This window comes from Homo sapiens, chromosome 1 (assembly GCF_000001405.40).
Source record: "Homo sapiens chromosome 1, GRCh38.p14 Primary Assembly".
Classification (NCBI taxonomy): domain Eukaryota; kingdom Metazoa; phylum Chordata; class Mammalia; order Primates; family Hominidae; genus Homo; species Homo sapiens.
This window is the reverse complement of record NC_000001.11, coordinates 89,887,017-89,909,924: the sequence shown is the minus strand read 5'-3', so window position 1 is coordinate 89,909,924 and position 22,908 is coordinate 89,887,017. Positions and strand designations below refer to the sequence as shown.

Sequence of the window (22,908 nt, the reverse complement as noted above, 5' to 3'; positions counted from 1 at the left end):
ATTCTTACTCAGTGAGGGGATTTGGTATATTTACTGAATTCTTTTTTTTTTTTTTTTTTGAGACGGAGTCTTGCTCTGTTGCCCAGACTGAAGTGCAGTGGCATGATCTCGGCTCACTGCAAGCTCCGCCTCCTGGGTTCATGCCATTCTCTTGCCTCAGCCTCCTAAGTAGCTGGGACTACAGGCGCCCGCCACCACGCTTGGCTAAGTTTTTGTATTTTTAGTAGAGACGGGGTTTCACCGTGTTAGCCAGGATGGTCTCGATCTCCTGACCTCATGATCCGCCCGCCTCGGCCTCCCAAAGTGCTGGGATTACAGGCGTGAGCCACCGTGCCTGGCCCTACTAAATTCTTATAATTCTATTTTGCCAGATAAATTTCCTATGCTGCTCCTGAACGATGTACCATTGGAACCCCATATACATCCTCTGTCTCTTAAATTAGGAAATGAAAAAAAAAATGGCACTGGTAAAATATATTTCTACCTATTGGTTTTAGTTATGGAGTCAGGGGCTACATAATCAAACTCCAAAAATGGCATCCTAATCATCTATACCAAACAGCTACTGTCTGTAAACAATGATATGTGAGAAGGCAGTGTGTTTCCTAAATGCCTCGGGACTTTATTACTAATGACACAATCACAAGCAGAAGAAAAACCAGACCTGAATTGCACAAGCATACCCAGAGAGATAGTAATACCACAGATATAAATTACAGGCCTCCTCTAAATCAGATACTGTCATCAATCTCACATAGAGCTTCCTGCCCAGTGAAATCTGCCTTAATTGGTTTTCATTCTGTTGTTATTGTTGTTGAAAAACTGAAAGAGAGCGAGCCATCTCAGGCAGCATCATGGGAATTTCAGACACACACACAGACACACAGACACACACACACACGCAAACACACCCACTCCTTTAAAGCTCAAATGAGTGCATCTAGATTTCAAGGAAATACTAACAAGGAACACGTTGAGGGTATTTTCCACTGGTTTAAAAATAAAGCATTCTACCCTTTAAAAAAATAAATCCCCAAATTATAGAAACAGGAAGCAGCAGCTGGATTTATCATCCTTCATTTCCTCTGAGAGTCACAGTAAGGAACTCCCCATTGAGACAGAAGCCATGGAGAGGTTAGCCCCTCCTGCCTGGACCCACATATCCACATGCTGCTGCTGCTGGTCCAACATGGTCAATGGTCGGCCAATTCAAAATCAAACTTGCTTTGTCTTATAAAGCATTCTGTGTCTAAGCCCTGCATTTTGATAAAATGAAAAACCTGACTAGCATTTCAACACACATACATAACTGGTCTTAGAAGGGCCTCACTCTCATTTCTCATGAAGTTGTCTCTTTCCTGGGCTCACCCAGGAGGGCTTTAGGGACCTGAGGACCTAAACACACAACAGAAGATGCAACAGATTCAACAGATGATGATGATAACAACACCCCTGAGGGACTCTGCAGCCTTGATCTAGTGGCTGTACTGGAAGAAAGCAAGAGGGCTGGCTGGGTTCTAGTCTTCTTTCATCCATTTGTGATTATGGTTGAAATACTTAGTCTCGCTCAGCCTCAGTTCTTGTGTCTATGAAATGACAATGAGACCACCTATTTCACAGAGGTGTAACGAGAAGTGAGATGATGAATATGAAATACTTTGTAAATTACACAGAAATAACAACAGACTAGAGTAATAGCAATCTATATACCTGCATAAGGTGGCTTTGCCAGTTTCAAAGCTTTCACAAATATTATTTAGGTTGATCCTTAAAATGATACAGTTGGGTGGGTGGTAATGACATCATCATCATCATCATCATCACTATTATGAATGTTTTATAAATGAGCTAGTGTAGAGGAACATAATGGGAAAGTTGTGTCCTAACTCATTTGCATGAATTCACATCATTTAAAAACATTTCTGGCAACATACGAGTGGTAAGTACATGGCTGGGAGTTATGAAAGCCACTCACATTTCAGGGCTGCTACTCTAGGCAAATCCCTTAACCTCTCCAGGCAACATGATTCATCTATCTGTCACTGGGTTGGTGGGAGACAAACATAAATTAGACCTGGTTCAATCTCTTGAAGAAATCAGTTGGCGCAAGGGGGCTGGTGGTGATGGTGGAAAGAAGTGACATATAAACACATTAATTACAAAACAGTGTTTACTTAAAATATGGAGTATGAACAAAATGCTGTGGGGTCACAAAGTAGGAAATGACTAATTTTGGGGGACTCATGAAATAATTCCTCTAAGTTCTTTGTAAACTGAGAAAAGAAGGAAATCAGACTACAAATTGATCAATGTCCCTTTTGAGGCTAAAACTCTGAGAAAATGAGGCTTAGAAAGGTTGTCAGTAATCTCAATAGACAGTGTGATTCCTCTTCCTCATCTGCTCATAGGCAATACACGATTTAAAACAACTGACTGGCCGGACATGGTGGCTCGCACTTGTAATCCCAGCACTTTGTGAGGTTAGGTGGGTGGATCATCTGAGGTCAGGAGTTCAAGACCAGCCTGGCCAACATGGCAAAACCCCGTCTCTACTAAATATACAAAAATTAGCCAGGTGTGGTGGTCTGTGCCTGTAATCCCAGCTACTCAGGAGGCTAGGCAGGAGAATCGCCTGAACCCGGGAGGCGGAGGTTGCAGTGAGCCAAGATCACACCACTGCACTCCAGCCTGGGCAACTGAGTGAGACTCAGTATCAAAAAAAAAAAAAAAAAAAAAAAAAAGACACAGTGGAAGACAGGAAGCCCAACACCTGAAAGATAGATGGGAAGCCCTTTGGGACCCTTTGTGTTCTGAACGTGATACATGAAAATAGCCTTCCTGCATGAGTAAATGCTGACAGATTTGTTTGGAGGAGTTGAGTTACCCATTCTTCTGTTTCTTACAGACTAACACTTGAATTAAGATGAGCTAGGGTACATGATACAAATTCAGATTCTTGGCCTCCACCCAGACCTATTCCTTTTCTACATGAGCCCCCACAGACCTTCAGAAAATAGCCGTTGACAGGTTGGAATGCAACGAACAGGAAAAGCAAACTATATGCAGCCTGGGAGGCCTTGCTAGCAAGGCTGAGCTGAGATGACTCAGCAGGTTAGAGCTGTGACCGTTCACTTCTGTAGTCATTACTCCAGTTCTTATCCAGTGCCTACTACAAATGCATGCACACAGGCTGGTCATACTCCAGAGCCCATCTAAGAATAACATGGAGTGGCTAACACAACTTGGCACAACACACAGGCAGGTTTTTCCAAAGAATGCCAGCCTTGGGTCCTGGGTGACAACTGGCTCCCAAAAGTTTGGCTGAGAAAGCCAACACACAGGACAGGCATTGTGAGCAAGCAGCAACCTGGCCAGTCACAGTCTACTTTAAATTCCACAAAATCTTGTTCTTTAGAAAGGGAACAGAAGTTGGGGAAAATAGAAAAGGCAGAGTCAGGGGTGGGATTTTGGGGTTGTTTCAGTTAAGTACTATAAACCAGTTTCCAAAGCTATGAAATTACTAACAGGGATAATGATGAATTCCCTTCAGTGATGATAGCGGCTCTACAGCGATGCTCGAGCTTCTGTTTGAGCTGACTGTTGACATACAGCATACTCTGCTTATATTGAGGGTAAAATTCACCTTTGGGCTACAGTGTGTACAGTACCAGATGTCTTGTTCTGTTTAGCATTTTATAAAGAGGAATTGTTCCGCTCATTTTCTTTAGTCAAATAGGGATTTTTTTAAGCCTAAAAGTGATGCTTGAAAGAAGATTCAGATGTGAGAAGTAAACAGCAGTTGGGGGGCAGTTAAAACACCAGGGAACAATGCGGCTGCCCCATAAAAATGTGCTCCCACTTGCATTTACAGCCTTAGCTAAAGCTGCGAAGAAGGACAACTGTTCAAATACAATTGTAGAGAGGTCTTCTCTTCCTTCCCCATTCAATGTCCCTGGTAAGCAGGGGTCAGGTCTCAGCTACCTTTGAAGACCCTACTGCAGGTGTTGAGGTAAGAGGACACTTACTCACTCTCTTCATGTTACATCGCCAAGAGAGAATTCCTTACAATACACCGGGCCTTCCTTGCTGCCCCCTCACTAATTCCTCCTCTTCGTCCTCTTTGAGATTTGCCTGTCTGCAAAGGTCACGAATTCTGGACTCCTCTCCTGCTGGGGGAAAGCAGCTTTCCCCTGCAGGGTACCAGCTTCCATTATTCTGGCATGCCAAGAAAAGGTGGGTAGTTTTATCTAATTCAGGGATAAAATTTCTGGAGGCCTACTTGGCTGCAGACCCAAAGCCATATTCTCCAAAGTGCATCATCAGTAATAAAGATGATATTTTGCAATCTACCAGCCTGACTCCTTTATCTTTCTAACTGGTGTGGAAAGAGGGGTTATTCACTTGGCTCCCTCAAACTTCAATAGTGGGTAGTTTTCCTTGCTTTGTATAGCTCACAGCTTTCAGTGAATATTTATTAAAGATATATGTGCAAAAATGTGGTGAGAGGGAAACAAATCTGTTTGGTTTTATTTGTTCATGAATGAGTATTTGACCATATTCCATCCCATAAAAGTCTTGGGAGGCAGTCCAAAATATGATATCCAATTTCTGTGTGAATTCTTAGAGGGAAACAATTAACATATATTCAAAAGAGAAACAGCCCTATTAAAAATATTATTGATGTCTTAGCACATGGAAATAGGTTTTTGACCCTTGTAGAGCATTAGCCCCTTGAAAAGTTTCTTCAAACTATTTTCTAAGCCAAATGACACAGGTGAAAACTTAACTCTTAAGAGGCTTCTTTTATGTGTGCTGAAATAAATCTGAAGGGCAGCATGACATTTCTTTCCAAGTTCCTTTTCATTTTTACAACCAACTATTTTAAACTATCAATCCTTTATAAAAGGGTTATTTAAAACCTCCAAAATCAAGTACTTCCATGTAAAAATTCGTTTGCCTGCAACTAAAAAATCAGCTGTGCATAGAACTATAACAGCAAGGATACTGGATGGCTTACAAAATGACTTTAACGCGGTCAACATTTTAATTCATCCTCACAACCATTCAACAATCCTGTAAAGTAAATGTTATTACCAACTTCAAGTTAGGGAAAAAACTGTTCAAAAAGTTCAACTCCAAGATTGCCCAATATTACCCAGCTAATTAATAGTAGTGGCACTGGGACTCAAACTTAGGTCTCATAATAAAACTGACGTGTTTTCTACTAAGTCATGACTCTGGATGCTAAGGTGTTTACATCCCTCCCTGCAGCCTTACAGAGTCTGGTCCTAATACCTGTGCAGTGCAGGAGTGGCCAATAGAGCTCCAGGTAAAGCATGTCAGCAAGAACCAAAGGAAATAACCTGGAGCAGACAGAAGAACAAGTTAATTCACTGAGTTCAGATGCCCCTGTCCTCCTGTATTCCTGCAGTCCTTTTAAGGAAGAAAAGTGAATGAACTCATTTCATTTTATTTCCTTCCTCCCTTTCCCCTGGGCTGAACCGAAAAGGCACAGCCCAGGAACCAGACCAGCAGGCAGCTGATATCTCTAAAAACAGTTTCACATCTGTTAAACTACAGGATGCTCCATTAACTCCAAAAAGAGCCTGAAGGTCCAACTTTCTTGAATTCACCAGTGGTCAGATGGTCACTTACAGCTGCAATGAAAACTGCAACTGGGCCTGGGGATTCCCGAAGGAGCCAAACTAAGGGGGAAATGTTTTTAACTTTGACAGAAGTATTGGGAGAGGGTGAGGACGATCCTTCCAGATAGCTCAGAAAGCTCTCTCTACTATTAGTGTTTTCATCCTGCCCCACCCACTTTAATTCTTTAGGCCCTCTCTGGTTTGTCCTTGGACAGAACTGGCTTGAATCCTGAGTAGGGGGAAGTTAGGTGGTCTCAGGCTAAACTGGGGATTCCAGGATGGTAATTATTCTCAAAGGCGAAAACAATGACTTTTAGCAGCCTTCCAAGCCTCTAGAATCATTAAATAAAATGATGTGTGAATATCAGATACCAGAGGTATTAAGAGGATCTCAAAAATACATTTATGTTTTGGGAGAAATAAACTCAGAGCCAGCTATAAAGTTTCTGGGCTCAACTCAAGACACCAGATTGAAATGTTCATAAAAATAAGAGATTCCTTTTTATGAATCACAGTTATTGCTAGTTATGAACATCAGCAAACACCCCAAAAGTAGGTGTGGTAAAGCAGCAGATGTAATAATGCTTAACCTTCTGGAGGAAACTCTCATCCTTAAAATAAACCAACCGAGTCCACCAGAATCCTGAAAAGACATATTCCAATATGTGTAACCATGTTTGCTTGTAGATTAAGGGAGATAAAATATCTAATACCACCCTTTCTGCTAATCCTGCCATTTCTCTCAGCAGTGAGAACAGTGTCACCTGAGTGGAAATTACATGTGGCAATGTGATACTGTGTACCTCATTGAAAAGGCAGCCACAGCAGACAACTTTAATTTTGATCACATACTAGGTAAACAAAAAAAGTGATGAAGAGAATTGAAAAGATGCCGTTACAGAGAAGAGATATAACCTAATATATTAAAGGTGAAGCATTTTCTAAAATTTCCTCTCATTAACAATTCAAACAACTTTCACTGTGAAAGAAAGAAACTCAAAATCAGTCCAACAACTCAAATGGAGAGTGCTACTACTTTCCCCATGCTGTCTCCAGCACACCCACAACTCTACCCTCAGAGAACATACAGTGCAATGATGAAGAGAAGAGACACAGGAGTCACACTGCCAGAGCGAAGAATCCTGGCTCTGCCATTTATTAGCTGTGTGATGTCAGGTGTGTTACCTAACATCTCTGTTTCCCTCTTTCTCAATAAGTGGGAAACAACAGCACTCACCTCAGAGGTTGTGGTGGGGATTTAGTGAGCCCATACATGTCCACACTTAGCACAGTGCCCCGTGCACATTAAGCAATCAATTTATTTAACTTCAAAGGCAATGACATGGGATTAACCAGACTATGAAAATAAAGAAATGGGGATTATTACAGTCTATGCAAAAGCCAAATGTTCCCCCTAGGCAACCAGACTGAACCCATTAGAAAACATCCTTTTATTGGCTGGGCACGGTGGCTCACGCCTGTAATCCCAGCACTTTGGGAGGCTGAGGCGGGTGGATCACGAGGTCAGGAGATCAAGACCATCCTGGCTAAACATGGTGAAAACCCATCTCTACTAAAAATACAAAAAATTAGCCGGGCCCTGTAGTCCCAGCTACTCGGGAGGCTGAGGCAGGAGAATGGCGTGGACCTAGGAGGCGGAGCTTGCAGTGAGCCAAGATGGTGTCACCGCACTCCAGCCAGGGCGACAGAGCGAGACTCAGTCTCAAAAAAAAAAAAAGAAAAAAAGAAAAAGAAAACATCCTTTTATTATTCTGTGGGCTCAGGGACTCAACTTGGTCATTCTTCTCAGTGGCTACGGCAGCTTATCAGAGAGGGCAGGCTCAAAGGACAAAAGTCAGTTCAGAAGAGATATGAAGACACAGAGAGAATGCCTGAGTCTGGGAGAAACTGGTTTGGGGCAGCTCTGAAAATGGGAAACAGCCAACAGTCCACAATCATGGGATTTAGGGCTTAGAAATAAAGTAGCAGGCTATTCAGATATGCACACTTTGTTAATACGGTTAAACTTTCCTCCATCTTCTCTTCAAGGTCCCTGCTGCAGGAGCATCTTCCAGAGACTGGTCTGCACGCCTTCAAATAGGTATGGCCATTTCTGGCATTTAATTGTTGTGGAGAAAACATATGTTTCAATTATAAACTCTGGAGGAGGAAGAGTGTGTCTCACACCTTGTGCCTCTCTCCCTGGCCTACTTCTGCCCCAGGGCCTAGCCCCCAGCATGGAGATGCTCACCTAGAAAGTGCTATAGAGAAATGTGTTACTATACTAAAAGCAGCACACATGAGGCCAGTACAGAGAAAAGGGTAGAGCAAAGCAGCATCTCCCTACCTCTGTGAGGCTTCGGTGGAAAGGCTGAGTTCAACAAGTTTAGGAGGAGGAAGAAGACGAAGCCTTCAGAGGCACGACGTACTGCAAAGATTATAGCGTTCCTCCAAACAGAAATCAAATTTAAATAATAAACCATAAAATAAGTATAAGAAAGTCCAGCTAAGGTCTGCTTTTTCTCATGATCACGGCTTTATTTCTTTAAGCAGCAAATATCAAATTATTTTTTAAAAAAAATATTTGAGCACGGTGTCTGCTTTTCTGGTGCCCCAAACACATGTTTAGTCTGCGTATCTGGTAATCTAACCCTGCTTGGGCACCAAAGGATTCCCTCCAGATACAGAGAGGCAGGCATGAAAGAATGGAGTTGGCAGGGACAGGTCAGGTGGAAAGGGAAGTATGAAGGAGACAGTGGCAATGAAAGGGTGGGGCAGAGGTGAGGACAGCTGGGGACTGGGCAATGGTGCAGTTAAGAGTAAGGTTAGCAATTTCAACTCCTTCCAGGTTAAATCTAGAGAGAACTTCAGAAACAATCTAAACCCAATCTTTTCCTTTTACAGGAGAGAAACTATTGCCCACTGATGATTTACCCAAGGCAAAGCTGCCAGTTAGAGGCAGAGATGGACCTGAAATCTGGCTTCCTGGCTGCCTGTTTAGAGGTCTTTCCACTCAGCACATCTCCTTTACGCTTACAGGGCAGAGGAATCAGAGCTCAGACAAACAGGTGAGAACTCAAGCAGCCGTGAAAGGCCTGCAGGCTCTCCTGCCCCAATGCTGCCTGTTAACAGAGTCAGCAGAAGAGGCAAAGAGAAGAGGTTGTCACTCTGTTTTTGATGAAGCCATTTGGTCTTCTGATAGGATATGCTGGACTAGAAATGCATGGTCACAGTCTGTTTCCCAGGGCAGAGGCTGTTATCAGGATGCTGTAGAGTACACTTGATAACGTATGGCAGGAAAGCCTACAGCACAAGAATTATGCACCCCTGACATTCCCTGACCCCTCTGGCCTCCAGTCGCCATGGCAAAGAACTGAAATCACCATTGGATACCTGGCTTTGTGATTCCTGATTCCTAAGATGGTACAGTTGTGAAGGAAACAGGGTAAGGATAAGACACATAAACCAATGGAGACACCTGCATTAACAATAGTCTTGATGAGATGCTGCTGTGGTTTTGCTGCCTAAAAATTGGGACAGACAAAAATTACTGTGAGGCTCAACAAGCTTATCTTCAGTGCTCTGTGGACCAACTCTTAGCTTTCAGACTTCCTGAGCTCCAAAGACTTTCTTTATAAAATCAGCCTCCTTTCTCTGAGAGATACTTCCAGTAAGTGCCACTATGCTTCGATGTTCACCTCAAGTGGTAAACATGTACTACATCTGGCCTGAACTAAGATTTATTTTTAGTCAGTTTTTTTTTTTATGATGGACATAAATCACTCAACTGCATTCTGCTTCACTTTGTGTAGCAGGCAAACTAAGAAATCAGGCAAACTAAGAAATCAGGCAAACTAAGAAAACAGACGATGACTTTTTAACCTACATCTCTCACCACCTTTACCTTCTGAATCTTCCTTGATGCACTGTACCCAAAAGTCATTTCTCCCAGGGGAAAGCAAGAATTGAATAAAACACCATCAGCATTTGTAACACATCGTCCCTCTACCAGGTTCTCATCCACAGGCTTTTGCCCATTGCATTTCCTCTGCCTAAAGTATCCAGTTTTCTCCAATTTACCTTGTTAATTACCTGTCTTTGCCTGCCATCAGTGCCTATGGTAAGCCTTCCTGGAAATCTCTACACCAATAACCCAGTCCTTTTAATCCTCCCTTGATGCTCCCAGAGTATCCTGTGCATTTCTGCCCCTCTACACTCTCGTACAATTATCTGGTTTTGAGTCTATCTCCTTCACTAAAGCTGTAAGATTCTCCAGGGCAGGGATCATAATTCATTCACGTTTGTTTCCCCAGGGACTAGTATACTACCCAGCACATGGAAGGGGTGCAATAAATACATAGTTGTAAGACTTTATCACACATATTCTTTAGCTGAATCCTTAGAGTGATACTGCAAGGCAGGAATTGTTGGTCACATTTTACAGACAAAGAAACAAGCTCAGAAAGGTTTCAAAGGATCCCCAGGACCATCAGTTCTGACACCCTCTAGCTCCCAGACTAGATTTTCACTTTACTACATTATAATCATTTAACCATACAAGTTCCACATAGAAGACAAATCTGAAAGCATTGATCCTTTGATGTGGGCCTATACATTGTGACCTGCACAACTGAAGAACAGATGCACAAAATTTTCAAATGTGAGTGTAATTGTTCAAATTGTTCTAAAAGCAGGAATGATGATCAGCTAAGGTGATGCAGTTTACATTAATTCTTTCCTCAAGGTCCTCTCCATCCTAAAGCTCTGCAAAAATGTCTGGTGGACATGAATTACATACAAAGTTGATCTGGTTATTAAGTCACAAAACTGTCTCTGGTTAACTGCCAACACTGTCAGACATCTTCAAAGAGCCAGACATGGCACAGCAGCAATGGCTGGCGAACTAGAAGTAACTTGGATGTGGCTGATTTGACCATGCAGAAAAGACAGGTCACCGGCAGAATGGGATTGGTTTGTAACTTTGACCCTCCATGACCCTCTGGCACACTTGAGCCTCTCCTCAGCCAAAGAAAGTGGTTTTCAGCACAGCTGCACCCTAGAATAATGCGGGGTGGCCTCAGAAACTAATGTAATGCTAGGCCACACCCCCGGAGGTACCAACTTAGTGGACCTAGGGTAGGCCCTTGAATCTACACCTGAATTGTTGAAAAGTTCCTCTGCAACTGTAGTATGCAGCCAGAATGAAAGGCCTGGGTGTTTCCGAAGCTGAAGAGCTCATCTCGTTGATCTAAATTTAAGATGAAAAGCCCAACTGGAACACCTTTTGGAACTTTCCTTTCCTTTACATCCAGCGACATTTAAAACACTTAAGTAAACAGCCACTCAGCACATCACAGTATGGACACTGCTTTTGAGTTACTCAACACTGGCTTTCATAGAGATGGAAACACAACATTCCTCTACTCTATCTGGGAGATTTTCCAGCCCTTTCTGCACAAACATTTCTAATGACAGGAAATGTACTACCTTAAAAGGTACTTTGTAGTTGTATGCTTAGAACAGGTGAATATTACAGTATGTAAATTAAATCTTAGTAAAGCTGTTTGTGTATGTGTATCTGTGTTTAAGGTACTTTGCTTGATTTCGGGAACAGCACTTATTACAAGAAAGTTCTTTTGGATCAGTCTATGAAATTAACCGATCTCTCCTTTACACTCACTGATCCTAGCCTTGCTGCTGGGGCCACTCAGATTTAAGTCTAATTCCTCTTCCACTTGACTCTGAATTCAGGCATATCTGGGTGTGAATCCATTTACTAGCTATGTGATCCACAGCAAATGAGCTCTTTCTGAGCTTCAATGTCCTGATCCACAGGAAGTGAGAGTATTTCCTTCGTAGAATTTGCGAGGATTGGCAAGCATCTAATATCTGGAACATTGTGAGATGCTCAATGAATAACGCTTTCCTTCCCTTCCCCATAGAGGTGGAGTACAAGGCTAAACATCCACACGTAGATATTTCACGATTCCTCATCAGGTTGCGGTTTTCCATTTTTCACCATCCTCCCATGAATTGCTTTTAGATTTGATAAATGTGGTGGCCTCACTTCTACAGCATCAGTTAACTCTGGTACAATAACTGCAGTATACCAATGACTGCTTACTGGCTCGTATTCAATGTTTTAAAAGTTTTAGGAACCCAAGGTTTTTCCTCTCAGTATCGGCTGCCTGTGAGCACTAAACCACATACAGAGGTTCAGCCACATATCAGAGACATCTTTATTCAGCTGCTTAGGAGCGAGTATGGCGGTTAGGTGGGAATTCCTTCTGTTATCTGCTGTGCTAGGAGAGGTGGCCTCCAATTATCACACCATGACCATGCTGCTCCTTCCCTGTACCAGGCACTCACCGGGATGCACCTTGTCCCAGCCTCTACCTCCACTGCACCTCGGCTGCCCACCACTTTTATCTGTGATTCTGGGAGGGCAACATAGCACTGCAGAAATCAAATGAGATTTGGCTAAGGCAGACCAGTTCAAATCATGGTGTCCTCTCTCAGAGCAAACTATTGACCTTCAGCAAATCAGTTTTTTTTTCAGGTTATTAAAAATAACCTTTTTTAAAAAAAGTTAATATATGCCTGATAGGAAACTGAAAAACACAAGAAGCAAAGAACAAAGTTATCCACAATCACAAGCAGTTTACAGTTTGACGTGTCCTCCTAGGTCCTGCGTGTGTATAGACACAGCATCCAATTTAATGGGATTAAGATTGTGCAATATGTATCATGCTTTTAAACACCACATGAATATTTACCAATTCAAAATCTCAAATCTATGTAAGTATTTTGATAACCAAGAATATACTACACCAACTCAATCTGCTAGGAAAAAACATAATCTCGCCTTTCTTGTGACAAAAATTTCACAGAAGACAAAAATGGCAACAGGCCTGTAGATAAAAGCACTGGCAGAGTCCCGATTAAAATACTGTGTTCCCTTAATACTCAACCTAAAATGAAACCATAAAGCAACAGAATACACCAAGTATAATGTTTCTAAGATAATTCATTAACCGATCTATACTATTAAAATACTAGCAAGAAGGTATATTGCCACTGAATTACTTAAGGTATTCCTATAGCATAGCCAAGAGAGATGTACATACATCAATAGTTATCATCAAAGTGTGTATCTGAACACATCTGCATACTTCTCTTCCTTTGGATTTCCTTCTGCCCCTCTGGTCCCAAAGTAATGAATAGTTTCTAATACACTCTGCTGACTTCAAGTAAATTATTTAACTCTCTGAATATCAATCAGCACCCCCATCTGCAAAAACTGAACCACCACACCTTTCCAAAGGGATTATTATGACAATTAAATGATTATGCTGCAATAAAGTGTCTAGCCTAATGTCTAATGCACAATAGGCATCCAACAAGTAGTAATTTTTTTTGAGAATATGTGAATATGTTTATTTCGCACTATATAGATTTAGCTTGTTTATTAACAACTATGATTCACAAGAAAAGAGAGGAGACAGAGAGAGAGAAAGGGAGAAAGACAGAAAGGGAGAAAGAAAGAGTAATTATTATCATCACTAGTGTGATATGGCGATTTCCCGCTCTTAGACTGGACTCTGTCCTGAATGCTAATCTATTTGACTACAGTCCTGACCTCTGTGCTGGGTTCTCACTACCTTTGTCCTCCAGGGGTGGTAAACCCTGATCTTCACACAGGAGCTTGCCCTACCCTCGGCCTGAACACCCCTCACCTGTGTTAAGTCTTCACAGCCTCTCTCTCCCTGCCAAGCCACTGTGTGTATTTCTCAGCTACTCTTAGCAAACTCCCAGTGTGTAAAGTGTGCTGGGAGTCAGAAATCTGCATTCTAGGTCCTGCTTGGCCACTAGCTACGTGACCACGAGCCAGGCACATAAACATTTTTATCTTGCTTCCCCTTCTGTGCAATGATGATGTCAGACGACACGATCTCTAAGGGCTCCTCCAGAACCAAAGTTTACGACCCCTCCCTTCCCCACCTCCTGGCCTCTTCCCATCTATCCTTTACCACCTTCATCCACCCCTCTACCCTCCCACTCACCCACAAGGGAGTCTTCAAGGCTGATCCTCTCCCCACACTCTTACCTCTGCTCCAAGTCCCGGCAATATGCCGTTATTGGCCATGTATTTATACAAAGCCACTTAAGCCATAGATTTTGGGTTGTTAGTCTGGAAACCTAAAACTCATGTATCATTTCTTGTCTATTAGAGAATGTATTTGTGGACATTACATTATATTAAGATGACAATGTCTAATAAAGGTTCTAACGCTTGCCTGTCAGGAGGAGACATATATTATGTAATATGTTTAATAAACATGTGCTGTCATACCTTTCCTTTTCTGATGTTTCCTATGGAAAAGTTTTCCCTGTAGAGCTGAGTATGCTACTCTGGAGTATCAGACTCAGAGACATTCTATCCTGGGCCTCACAAATTATACATAGATGTAAACTGCTTTAAGAAACATGATAAAGAGATTACTAAAATCATGAAAAAAATTGGTATGATTATTCATCTTCTTAGAGTTCTTTCAAGACATCTAAAAATAATTTAGCTTACAGAAGTTCAACGTCTCATCAACTTTTCAGAAGTTCAATTGTTGCCTAAAATGAAATATTATATATGAATAGAAACTTGAAGATATTTTAATTTTTAAAAGTACATGTCAAATTTGTTCACATAGAAAATTAAAAGTAAAAAAACAAACAGTACATCTTTAAAAGCAACATTATGCTACTTAGAAGATACATGTGGTACGTAGAAAAAAAATTATTACACATATATTTACACACAGTGTTTTGAGTTTGCACAGGGCTAACTCAAGTTGCCTTTGAAATTAAGCAGATATTTGAGATAAAATTACCTAGCTGGGAATTTTTCTGAGCCATTTGCTTGTTTATGATAGCTTGAAGAAAACATACCAAGTCTGCCAAATCTGTAAATACATAGGGATTTAAAACTCTTGTCAAATAAGAAAAATGAACAAATTTAAGGTCATCTAACAGACTTCATAATATATTATATGAATATAGTAGGCTTATCTTTTCTTGCGTAGTAATACAAAAGTCCTGCATGTGTTCCCAGTATGTTGATTTATTTTTAGGATAATGTAATAATTTTGTTTCCAAAAAATGTTAATTATCTAGCACACCTGTCTGTCCTCAGACAAGCAAGTACAGGAGTCAGTTAACACTGCTCACTGTAGGCACTGAGACATCAGCCTGCTTGCTTACTGAGTGATCAGTGGGTGGGGTGGGGGTGGGAGACCTTCACCTACAGACACACTTGGGTCATGGAATCTGACAATGAAAGAATATGAGCACTATTTGATAGTGTTGAAAGCACTCAGAACTTTCAACACTATGGCTGTCTCCGAACTTGACAGAATTTTCCGTATCACATCAGCCAATATTGTACTCACCCGTAAGATATGGAACACTTGTATCTTAAGGAAAGGAAAGAAACAACTATTTGAGTGGTGACTTATATTCCCTTTATGAAATTTACTTATGTCACTCACATTCCAATAATAGTAAGCATACATTATTTTTCTATATTTCAGCTTACTCAGTATTGTGCTGATGATGTACATGAACACTATCTTCTTGGTTTACTCTGTTCTCCATTCACTTTAGCCAAATAATGTCAGCAACCTTTCTTATACTACCTCTAAACCCAATGGGCTATGACTCTGTCCAATTTCCTAAAAGATTTAAGTTCAGCTTGCCTCCCTAAATTGCTATCTAAAAGAATGTTTAAGGGAGCATCTCAATTTCCTATGTTCTGAAAGTTAACACTCAGAGATAAACAGGAATCACATTTCTACTATACATTCCAGTTATCTTCAAGCATTTCCCTTCATACCCTTGTGCTACTGATGCCAAGAATGCTATGTGCTCGGCTCACTCTCAGATGGAGAGTGAGTAATATGGGGCTGTCTTAGTCTGAACTGCTATTACAGATTACACAGGCTGGGTGCCTTAAATGACAAACATTTATTCCTCACAGTTCTGGAATCTGGAAATCTAAGATCAGGGTACCAACACAGCCGAGTTTGGTGAGGGCCTTCTTCCAGATTGCAGACAGCTGACTTCCCTGTCTATCCTCACATGGTGAGAAAAGGGCAGGAGAACTCTCTGGGGTCCCTTTTATAACAGCATGAATCCCATCCATGAGGGCAGAGCCCTCATGCCCTAATTACTTTCCAAAGGCCCTACCTCCTAATACCATTACACTGGGGTTAGGATTTCAACACTTTGTGGGGGACATAAACACTTAGTCCATAACAAGAGCCCTCTGCTTCCAGCATATATTGCTCTAATGAGAGTTATCAGGTAAGGGTTTAGCACATTTTAATCTCAAGTCAGTCAAAAACTCACATCACCAATTATCTGCAAATACAGAACAATTAAAATGGTAATTAAATTACTCCAGATATTCATCTAAAAAACTCTTTAGTTTCCACTATGCTCTACTGAAAAAAGAGTAAGTCTGCAATCATCAAGAGGTCTTAAGTCTAAAAACCAACTGCATGTCTCAAGGCATTTTACACTACTATCCAGTATAAAAGACATTCTAAAATACTAGATATTAAAGCATTCAGAACAATAACGTATGTCCCATTACAATATAGATGGGTTCCACTGTATCTACTTCAGGGAAAAAATGTATGCTTGGGAAAACAAGAGCATTCTTATCAATCTTGAAAATGCATAATTTCCAGTATTTTCTGTTGTTTTGTTTTCAGAATACTTTGTTCCTGGGGAAATATGCTAATTCCCTTGCAATTCTGGTCTACCTTTTTTTTCCTAGTTAAATGAGCAAATAAAGTCAAATTTTAAGCATGAAGTTAGATGCTTTCTAGGAAAAAAGTGATAACGAATATTTTTCAAGTAACTGAAAGCTATAACCATGTTTTCGCCCACTGGCTGCCCTTCAGTTCTTTGAATATGCCAAGCTCACCTGTATCTCAGGACCTCTGCACGTGCTCATCCCTCTGCAGGACTGTTCATTCCCCAGATCTTCTCATTGTTCCCTTCTTCTCAACACTCCTGCCCTAGCTCAGCTGGCACCTCTTCATTGAGGCCTTTCCTGATTAGTCCCCATCTCATTTCATTTCTTCATAGCTTTTACAGCTATTTTATATTATCTTGTTTATGTTTTTGGTTGCTTATGGATCCACAAGCTGAGATCCTGTCTATTTTGTTCACACTCTATTCTCAGCACCTAGGACAGTACCTGTCATATAGATGTTTATAGATTATCTGTTTAATAAATAAATAAATGAATGAATGAACAAATTAACCACATGTCAACTGAAAGCTGAGGACATGTAATTTCAAATAAACTTTGTCTGATTGAATTTTACTTGATTTCAAGAAAGTTTTAACAAAGTTACATATAATAACCTTGTGAATTTGACAGAAATATCAATCTACGGCCAGGCACAGTGGCTCACGCCTGTAATCCCAGCACTTTGGAAGGCCGAGGTGGGTGGATCATGAGGTCAGAAGATCGAGACCATCCTGGCTAACACAGTGAAACTCCGTCTCTACTAAAAAATACAAAAAAATTAGCTGGGCGTGTTGGCGGGCGCCTATAGCCCCAGCTACTCAGGAGGCTGAGGCAGGAAAATGGCGTGAACCCAGGAGGCGGAGCTTGCAGTGAGCTGAAATGGTGCCACTGCACTCCAGCCTGGGCGACAGAGCGAGACTGTCTCAAAAGAAAAAAAAAAAGGAAATATCAATCTAGTGACGGTTCTGTAGATTCCTTACAGGTCAAATGACTGCACCTAGAGTGCTAAATAATGCCAAGCGGGGAACTTGGTCCTACCTTATCCCACACTGTTATCAATCATTTGGAAGATGAAAAATTTTAAATCACACAATGCTGAAAAGGATAGCAAATGGGCTGGGGAACAGAATCAGGTATCAAAAAGATCTCCATAGGTTGAAAAGGCAGGCTAAAACAAACAAGATGATATTTAACAGGGATCAGCCTAAAGCCTTGTACATAATTTAAAAACTCAAACATGGAGCGAGGGCGTTCAGGACACCTGGCTTAACAGCAGCAGCACTGTGAAATATCCAGCATTTTATCATTGTGAGCTTCATATGGGGCAAACATATGGCTTGACCACTAAAGAACAATTATCAGAATGTGAAACGGAACAATGTAGCATGCTCAGGTAGGATGAACTGGGGTTACACAGGCTCAAAACAAATTATTTCATTCAATAACAGTTTCTGAGCACTTATGATGTGATGGACATTATACATGGAACCGGAGATACAGAGATAAGAGACCAAAGTCTAGTATGGAGTGAGAGAACCCAGAGTTGTTAATACAGAGGGCAGGGGGATGATGACAGAGGGGCAAATGAAAGTTACAGGAACAAAGGGAAAGGAAAGGCTGGAGAGGGTGCTCCAGGAAATACAACTCTTGCAGACAGATGAGCTAATTAAGAAGGTGTTATAAAAGTGAAACCAAGAACTCAGCACTGTGCCAGGCACAAAGCAAGTCATAATAACAATGTTGGGTACCATTATAATTATAATCAACATTATTGTGGTTATCATTATTACTAAAAATGAATGCACCTTGACAGCTCTTTCTTAAAGCAGAATTCCAAATAATATATGTAGAGGAAATGATGGAAAGACAAAAATCACTGTTAGGCAAACATTACAGCAATAACTGTTGCAGGCACAAGACACTGATAAACACTAAAAGTAGTGAGCAAAAGTATGAGAAACAGGATATCTGCATAGTCTCAAAGTATCTCTCCACAAGATATTTATTACAAAAGAGAAAACAATAATTCTATAATGGAGTGGCAGACATCATCCTTACTAACAGATCACAGTTATCACCACCAGTAATAAAACATATCAGCATCACGTGCATCTTGATATGACGAACTTGGAAGAACACATAACTTATGTGGTACTCTTGCCAAAAATGCATAACCCCAATCTAATCATGAGAAAATACCAGAAAACCCAAATGGATAGACAAGGTACAAAGTAACTGGCCAGTATGCTTCCAAAGTGTTGATGTTATGAAAGACAAAAACTGAGGCCAGGCGCGGTGGCTCACGCCTGTAATCCCAGCCCTTTGGGAGGCTGAGGCGGGCGGATCACAAGGTCACGAGATCGAGACCATCCTGGCTAACACGGTGAAACCCCGTCTATACTAAAAATACAAAAATTAGCTGGGCATGGTGGTGGGCGCCTGCAGTCCCAGCTACTCAGGAAGCTGAGGCAGCAGAATGGTGTGAACCCGGGAGGCGGAGCTTGCAGTGTGCCGAAATCGCCCCACTGCACTCCAGAGTGATGACACAGCAAGACTCCGTCTCTAAAAAAAATAAAAAACAAAAAAAGAATGAGGAACTATCATCATGGCTTGGAGGAGACTAAGTACTATGTGGGATTCTGAATTGGATCCTGGACTAGAAAAAGGACATTAGTAGGAAAACTGGCAAAACTTGCATAAGGTTTCTAGATTGGTTAACAGTATTGTATAAATGCCAATTTCCTGGTTTCTAGAATTGTTCTACGGTATGTAAGGCATTAACATAAGGGAAGGTGAGTGAAGGGTACTGGAGAACTCTGTATTATTTTTGTGACTTCTTAAGTCAAAAGATAATTCCAAAACCAAAAATCAAAAATCAAAAACATGGATGTGCCTGAGCCAGGAACCAGAGATTCTGCCAGGAGATAAAGGGGATACGGAGAGGCTGACTCAGACATGAATTCTACATATTGAGCCTCCTAGGTTAAACCATGTCAGGAAAAAGACTGAATGAATGATATAGCATACAAAGCCTGGGGCTATAAATACCAAAAAGTTGGCTGTAACCAGGAAAATGTAGTGAGAACATCCCTGAATTAGTGGTTCTCAGGACAAAGTTGAACCTGTTCTTGATGACTCAGCTCCATTATCAAGAGCATCAATCAACACTTTTGTAACACGGAGGCCCCCAGGCTCCTAGGGTGTGGTATGCTGCCCTCTCCTACAATGTTTTTGGAATCCTCAAGGCTTTTATTTTATTTTATTTATTTATTTATTGAGACAGAGTCTTGCTCTGTCGCCCAGGCTAGAGAGCAGTGGCGTGATCTTGGCTCACTGCCAAGCTCCGCCTCCCGGTTTCATGGCATTCTCCTGCCTCAGCCTCCCAAGTAGCTGGGACTACAGGCGCCCGCCAACACGCTCAACTAATTTTTTGTATTTTTATTAGAGATGGAGTTTCACTGTGTTAGCCAGGATGGTCTCGATCTCCTGATCTCGTGATCCACCCACCTCGGCCTCCCAAAGTGCTGGGATTACAGGCATGAGCCACCGCATCCGGCCTATTTTATTTTATGTTTTTTTTTCAGACAGGGTCTCACTCTATTACCCAGGCTGAAGTGCAGGAGCACAATCTCGGCTCACTGCAGCCTCGACTACCCAGGCTCAAGCGATCCTCCTACCTCAGCCTCCCAAGTAGCTGGGACCACAGGCGCTCACCAAAAGAGCTGGCTAAATTTTTGTATTTTTAGTAGAGACGGGGTTTCACCATGTTCGCCAGGCTGGTCTCGAACCCCTGACTTCAAGTGATCCACCAGCCTCGGCCTCCCAAAGTGCGGGGATTACAGGAATGAGCCAGTGCATCCAGGCTGCCTTTTTTTTTTTTTTTAAACAAACATTTAAACAGTATAGTTTTAGATTTAGAGGAAATTTAAGTTACTGCCAGGAGTTACAATATACTCCACCCATTAATAATATCATACATTAGTCACAATTCACAGACCAATAAAAATATATTATCCACTAAAGCCCACACTTTTTGCAGATTTCCTTGGTCTTTACCTAATGTTCTTTTTCTGTTCCAGGATCCCATCCAGGATACCATATTACATTTATTACTCATATCTCCTTAGGTTCCTTTTGGTTGAGAGAGTTCCTCAGATTTTCCTTGTTTTTGATAACCTTGACAGTTTTGAGGAGTACTGGTCAGGTATTTTATAGAATGACCACCAACTGGAATTAGTCTCATGCTTTTCTCATGATTAGCCTGAAATTATAGGTTTCTGGGAGTAAGACCCCAGAAGTAAAGTGCCATTCTCATCACATCATATCAAGCATAAACACTAGCCTGACTTACCACCACTGATGTTAACCTTGCTCACCAGACTAGAGCAGTATTTGTCAGGTTTCTCTGCCTTCCCACATTGCTCTTTGGAGGGAAGTCACCATGCACAGCCCACACTTAAGGAAATGACAAGTATTATAACCCACTTCTTTGAGAGTGGAATACCTACATAAATCATTTGGAATTTTTCTGCACAGATTTGTCTATTTCCCTCATTTATTTATTGATTCAATCATTTATTTATATCAGGATGGGTACATATTTCATAGTTTGGGTTACAGTTCATTACTACTTTATTTTGTTGCTCAAATTATTTCATCTTTGGCCACTGTGAGCTATTTCAGTAACTCCTGTGTCCCTCTGATAAACCTTCGTCATTGTGGGTTTGTTAAGCTCTTCCTTACTTTCCAGCACTACAAGATGCTCCAAGTTCATCTTGCACATTCCCTGCCCCCGCTCTAGAATCTGGAATCTGTCATTCGGCCAGGAGACCTGGTGGCTTTCACAGGATAATGGTATTAGAAACCAAGATCTGGATGCCAGATATGCTTGTTGCTGCTGGGATATTGCTGCTTTTAGGCTCTCTCAGGTGACACAGCGAAGAAATTGTGTGCGTACTAACTTGTGTATATACACATATCTATAAATATTTCTTTGTATTTTGTATCTATATCAAGCTAAACATGAATTCATATCGGTATCTCCAATTCAAATCCATTACCACATGGATCATTTCCCTCCTTGCTTATCTATAACTTTCCATTCCAAAGTGAGAAACCAAGGCCCTCATCATCCACTATCCATTTACTTATTATTCAATTCCAGTGTACATATATAATAGTTTCAGAATCATTAACTTATATCCTCATGGGAAACAACTTTATCGAATAGAGTATAGTGCTTGCATATAGTTCCTAAGTTATTTAAGTCGGTAACCCTTTTTCATTCACTTTCTTCAGTGAGTTTATTCTGTACTTTGTAATACAGTTGGATTCTTTTGTCATAGTCTGAATTTCATCCTGGGATCCTCCAACCTCCTAAATGGCTTTTAAAAATCTGGATACATTAATGTTCAATATATGTGCTGTAAAGTTTTATGGGTTTTGACAAATGCACAGTGTCACGTCTCCCTTGGTGCCTTTTTACATCTTTTCTGTTTTCTCCTGTGGCATCAGATAATAAACTCAGGGTATGATCAGTCCACCCCTCTTCTAAGAAACCTCCCACCCTGTGGCTCCCTAATCTGTCATTAGCCAACAAACTAAATAACTGAGGTGGTAACATTATAAAGAAAATAAGAAGAAGAATGCCATGCCATAGGGCTCTCCTCCTATCCCATATTTTAAATTCATGATACTGCTGCAGAAATTTTGATTGCATAAGGCTTAAGAGGATACTATACAGGATAGAAAGAGTTAGCAATGAAAACACCTTAACAGGCTGAAAGGTGGGCCAAACCAAAAAAAAAGGTTAGATTACCAGGGAAGTTAATAATTTGATTAAAAAATTCAAGAGTACACATCAGGGAAAGATAACTAGTTTAGTTACTGCATCTATGAGATACTTCAGTGTTTTCATAGGTTGAAAGCTTGGTATGAGGCAACAAAGGGACTTGCTCATCAAAAAACTATTACCAGGACAATGGCCAGGACAGGGGAGGAGACAGTCAGTCTGCACTTGTTAGATCATGTGTGTCATTCTGTGTTCAGTTCAGTTCCAGGCATCAAAGTCCAAATGTGACACAACTACTAAATGAACCAGAGTTGTGAAAAGTCTAGAAAAATTCACTCAACAAGCATTTAGTGAATGCTACCATTCGTATAAGGTATTATAATATGTGCTAGTGTCCAAGCGTGATAATGACGAAAATAAAAACAATAAAAAAGGGCATATCATATCCAAGCACTGCTCAAAGGACTTCATAAGTATTAATTAACTTAATCAGATAAATCGGCTCTTTGTGACCCTTCAAGATATCTGAGGTTTCCAGATTTATGCCCATGTAAACGACTAGTATATTCAACAAGTCATATTTAATCATTTATTCTCCCACATTTTACACTTTTCTCCCATTTTTTTCTTCTAAGAAATAAAATTTAAATAACAAA

At 41.0% G+C, this 22,908-nt stretch overlaps 1 protein-coding gene across 12 annotated transcripts in view, besides 3 other annotated features; it reads right to left on the bottom strand.

The window, feature by feature from the left end:
• Nucleotides 1-22,908, bottom strand: part of LRRC8D (leucine rich repeat containing 8 VRAC subunit D) — a 115,580-nt gene that overhangs the window by 26,687 nt on the left and 65,985 nt on the right. The gene's annotated exons all lie outside the window — the stretch shown is intronic.
• Nucleotides 2,718-3,321: an enhancer, noted in NCBI's record as "H3K27ac-H3K4me1 hESC enhancer chr1:90372163-90372766 (GRCh37/hg19 assembly coordinates)". NCBI's record gives its function as "activates a minimal SCP1, AML or CMV promoter by ChIP-STARR-seq in primed H9 embryonic stem cells {active_cell/tissue: H9 hESC(primed)}" and the evidence as "EXISTENCE:reporter gene assay evidence [ECO:0000049][PMID:30033119]".
• Nucleotides 3,322-3,923: an enhancer, noted in NCBI's record as "H3K27ac hESC enhancer chr1:90371561-90372162 (GRCh37/hg19 assembly coordinates)". NCBI's record gives its function as "activates a minimal SCP1, AML or CMV promoter by ChIP-STARR-seq in primed H9 embryonic stem cells {active_cell/tissue: H9 hESC(primed)}" and the evidence as "EXISTENCE:reporter gene assay evidence [ECO:0000049][PMID:30033119]".
• Nucleotides 15,401-15,695: a silencer, noted in NCBI's record as "tiled region #14100; HepG2 Repressive non-DNase unmatched - State 15:Elon". NCBI's record gives its function as "represses a minimal TATA promoter and a strong SV40 promoter by Sharpr-MPRA in HepG2 cells {active_cell/tissue: HepG2}" and the evidence as "EXISTENCE:reporter gene assay evidence [ECO:0000049][PMID:27701403]".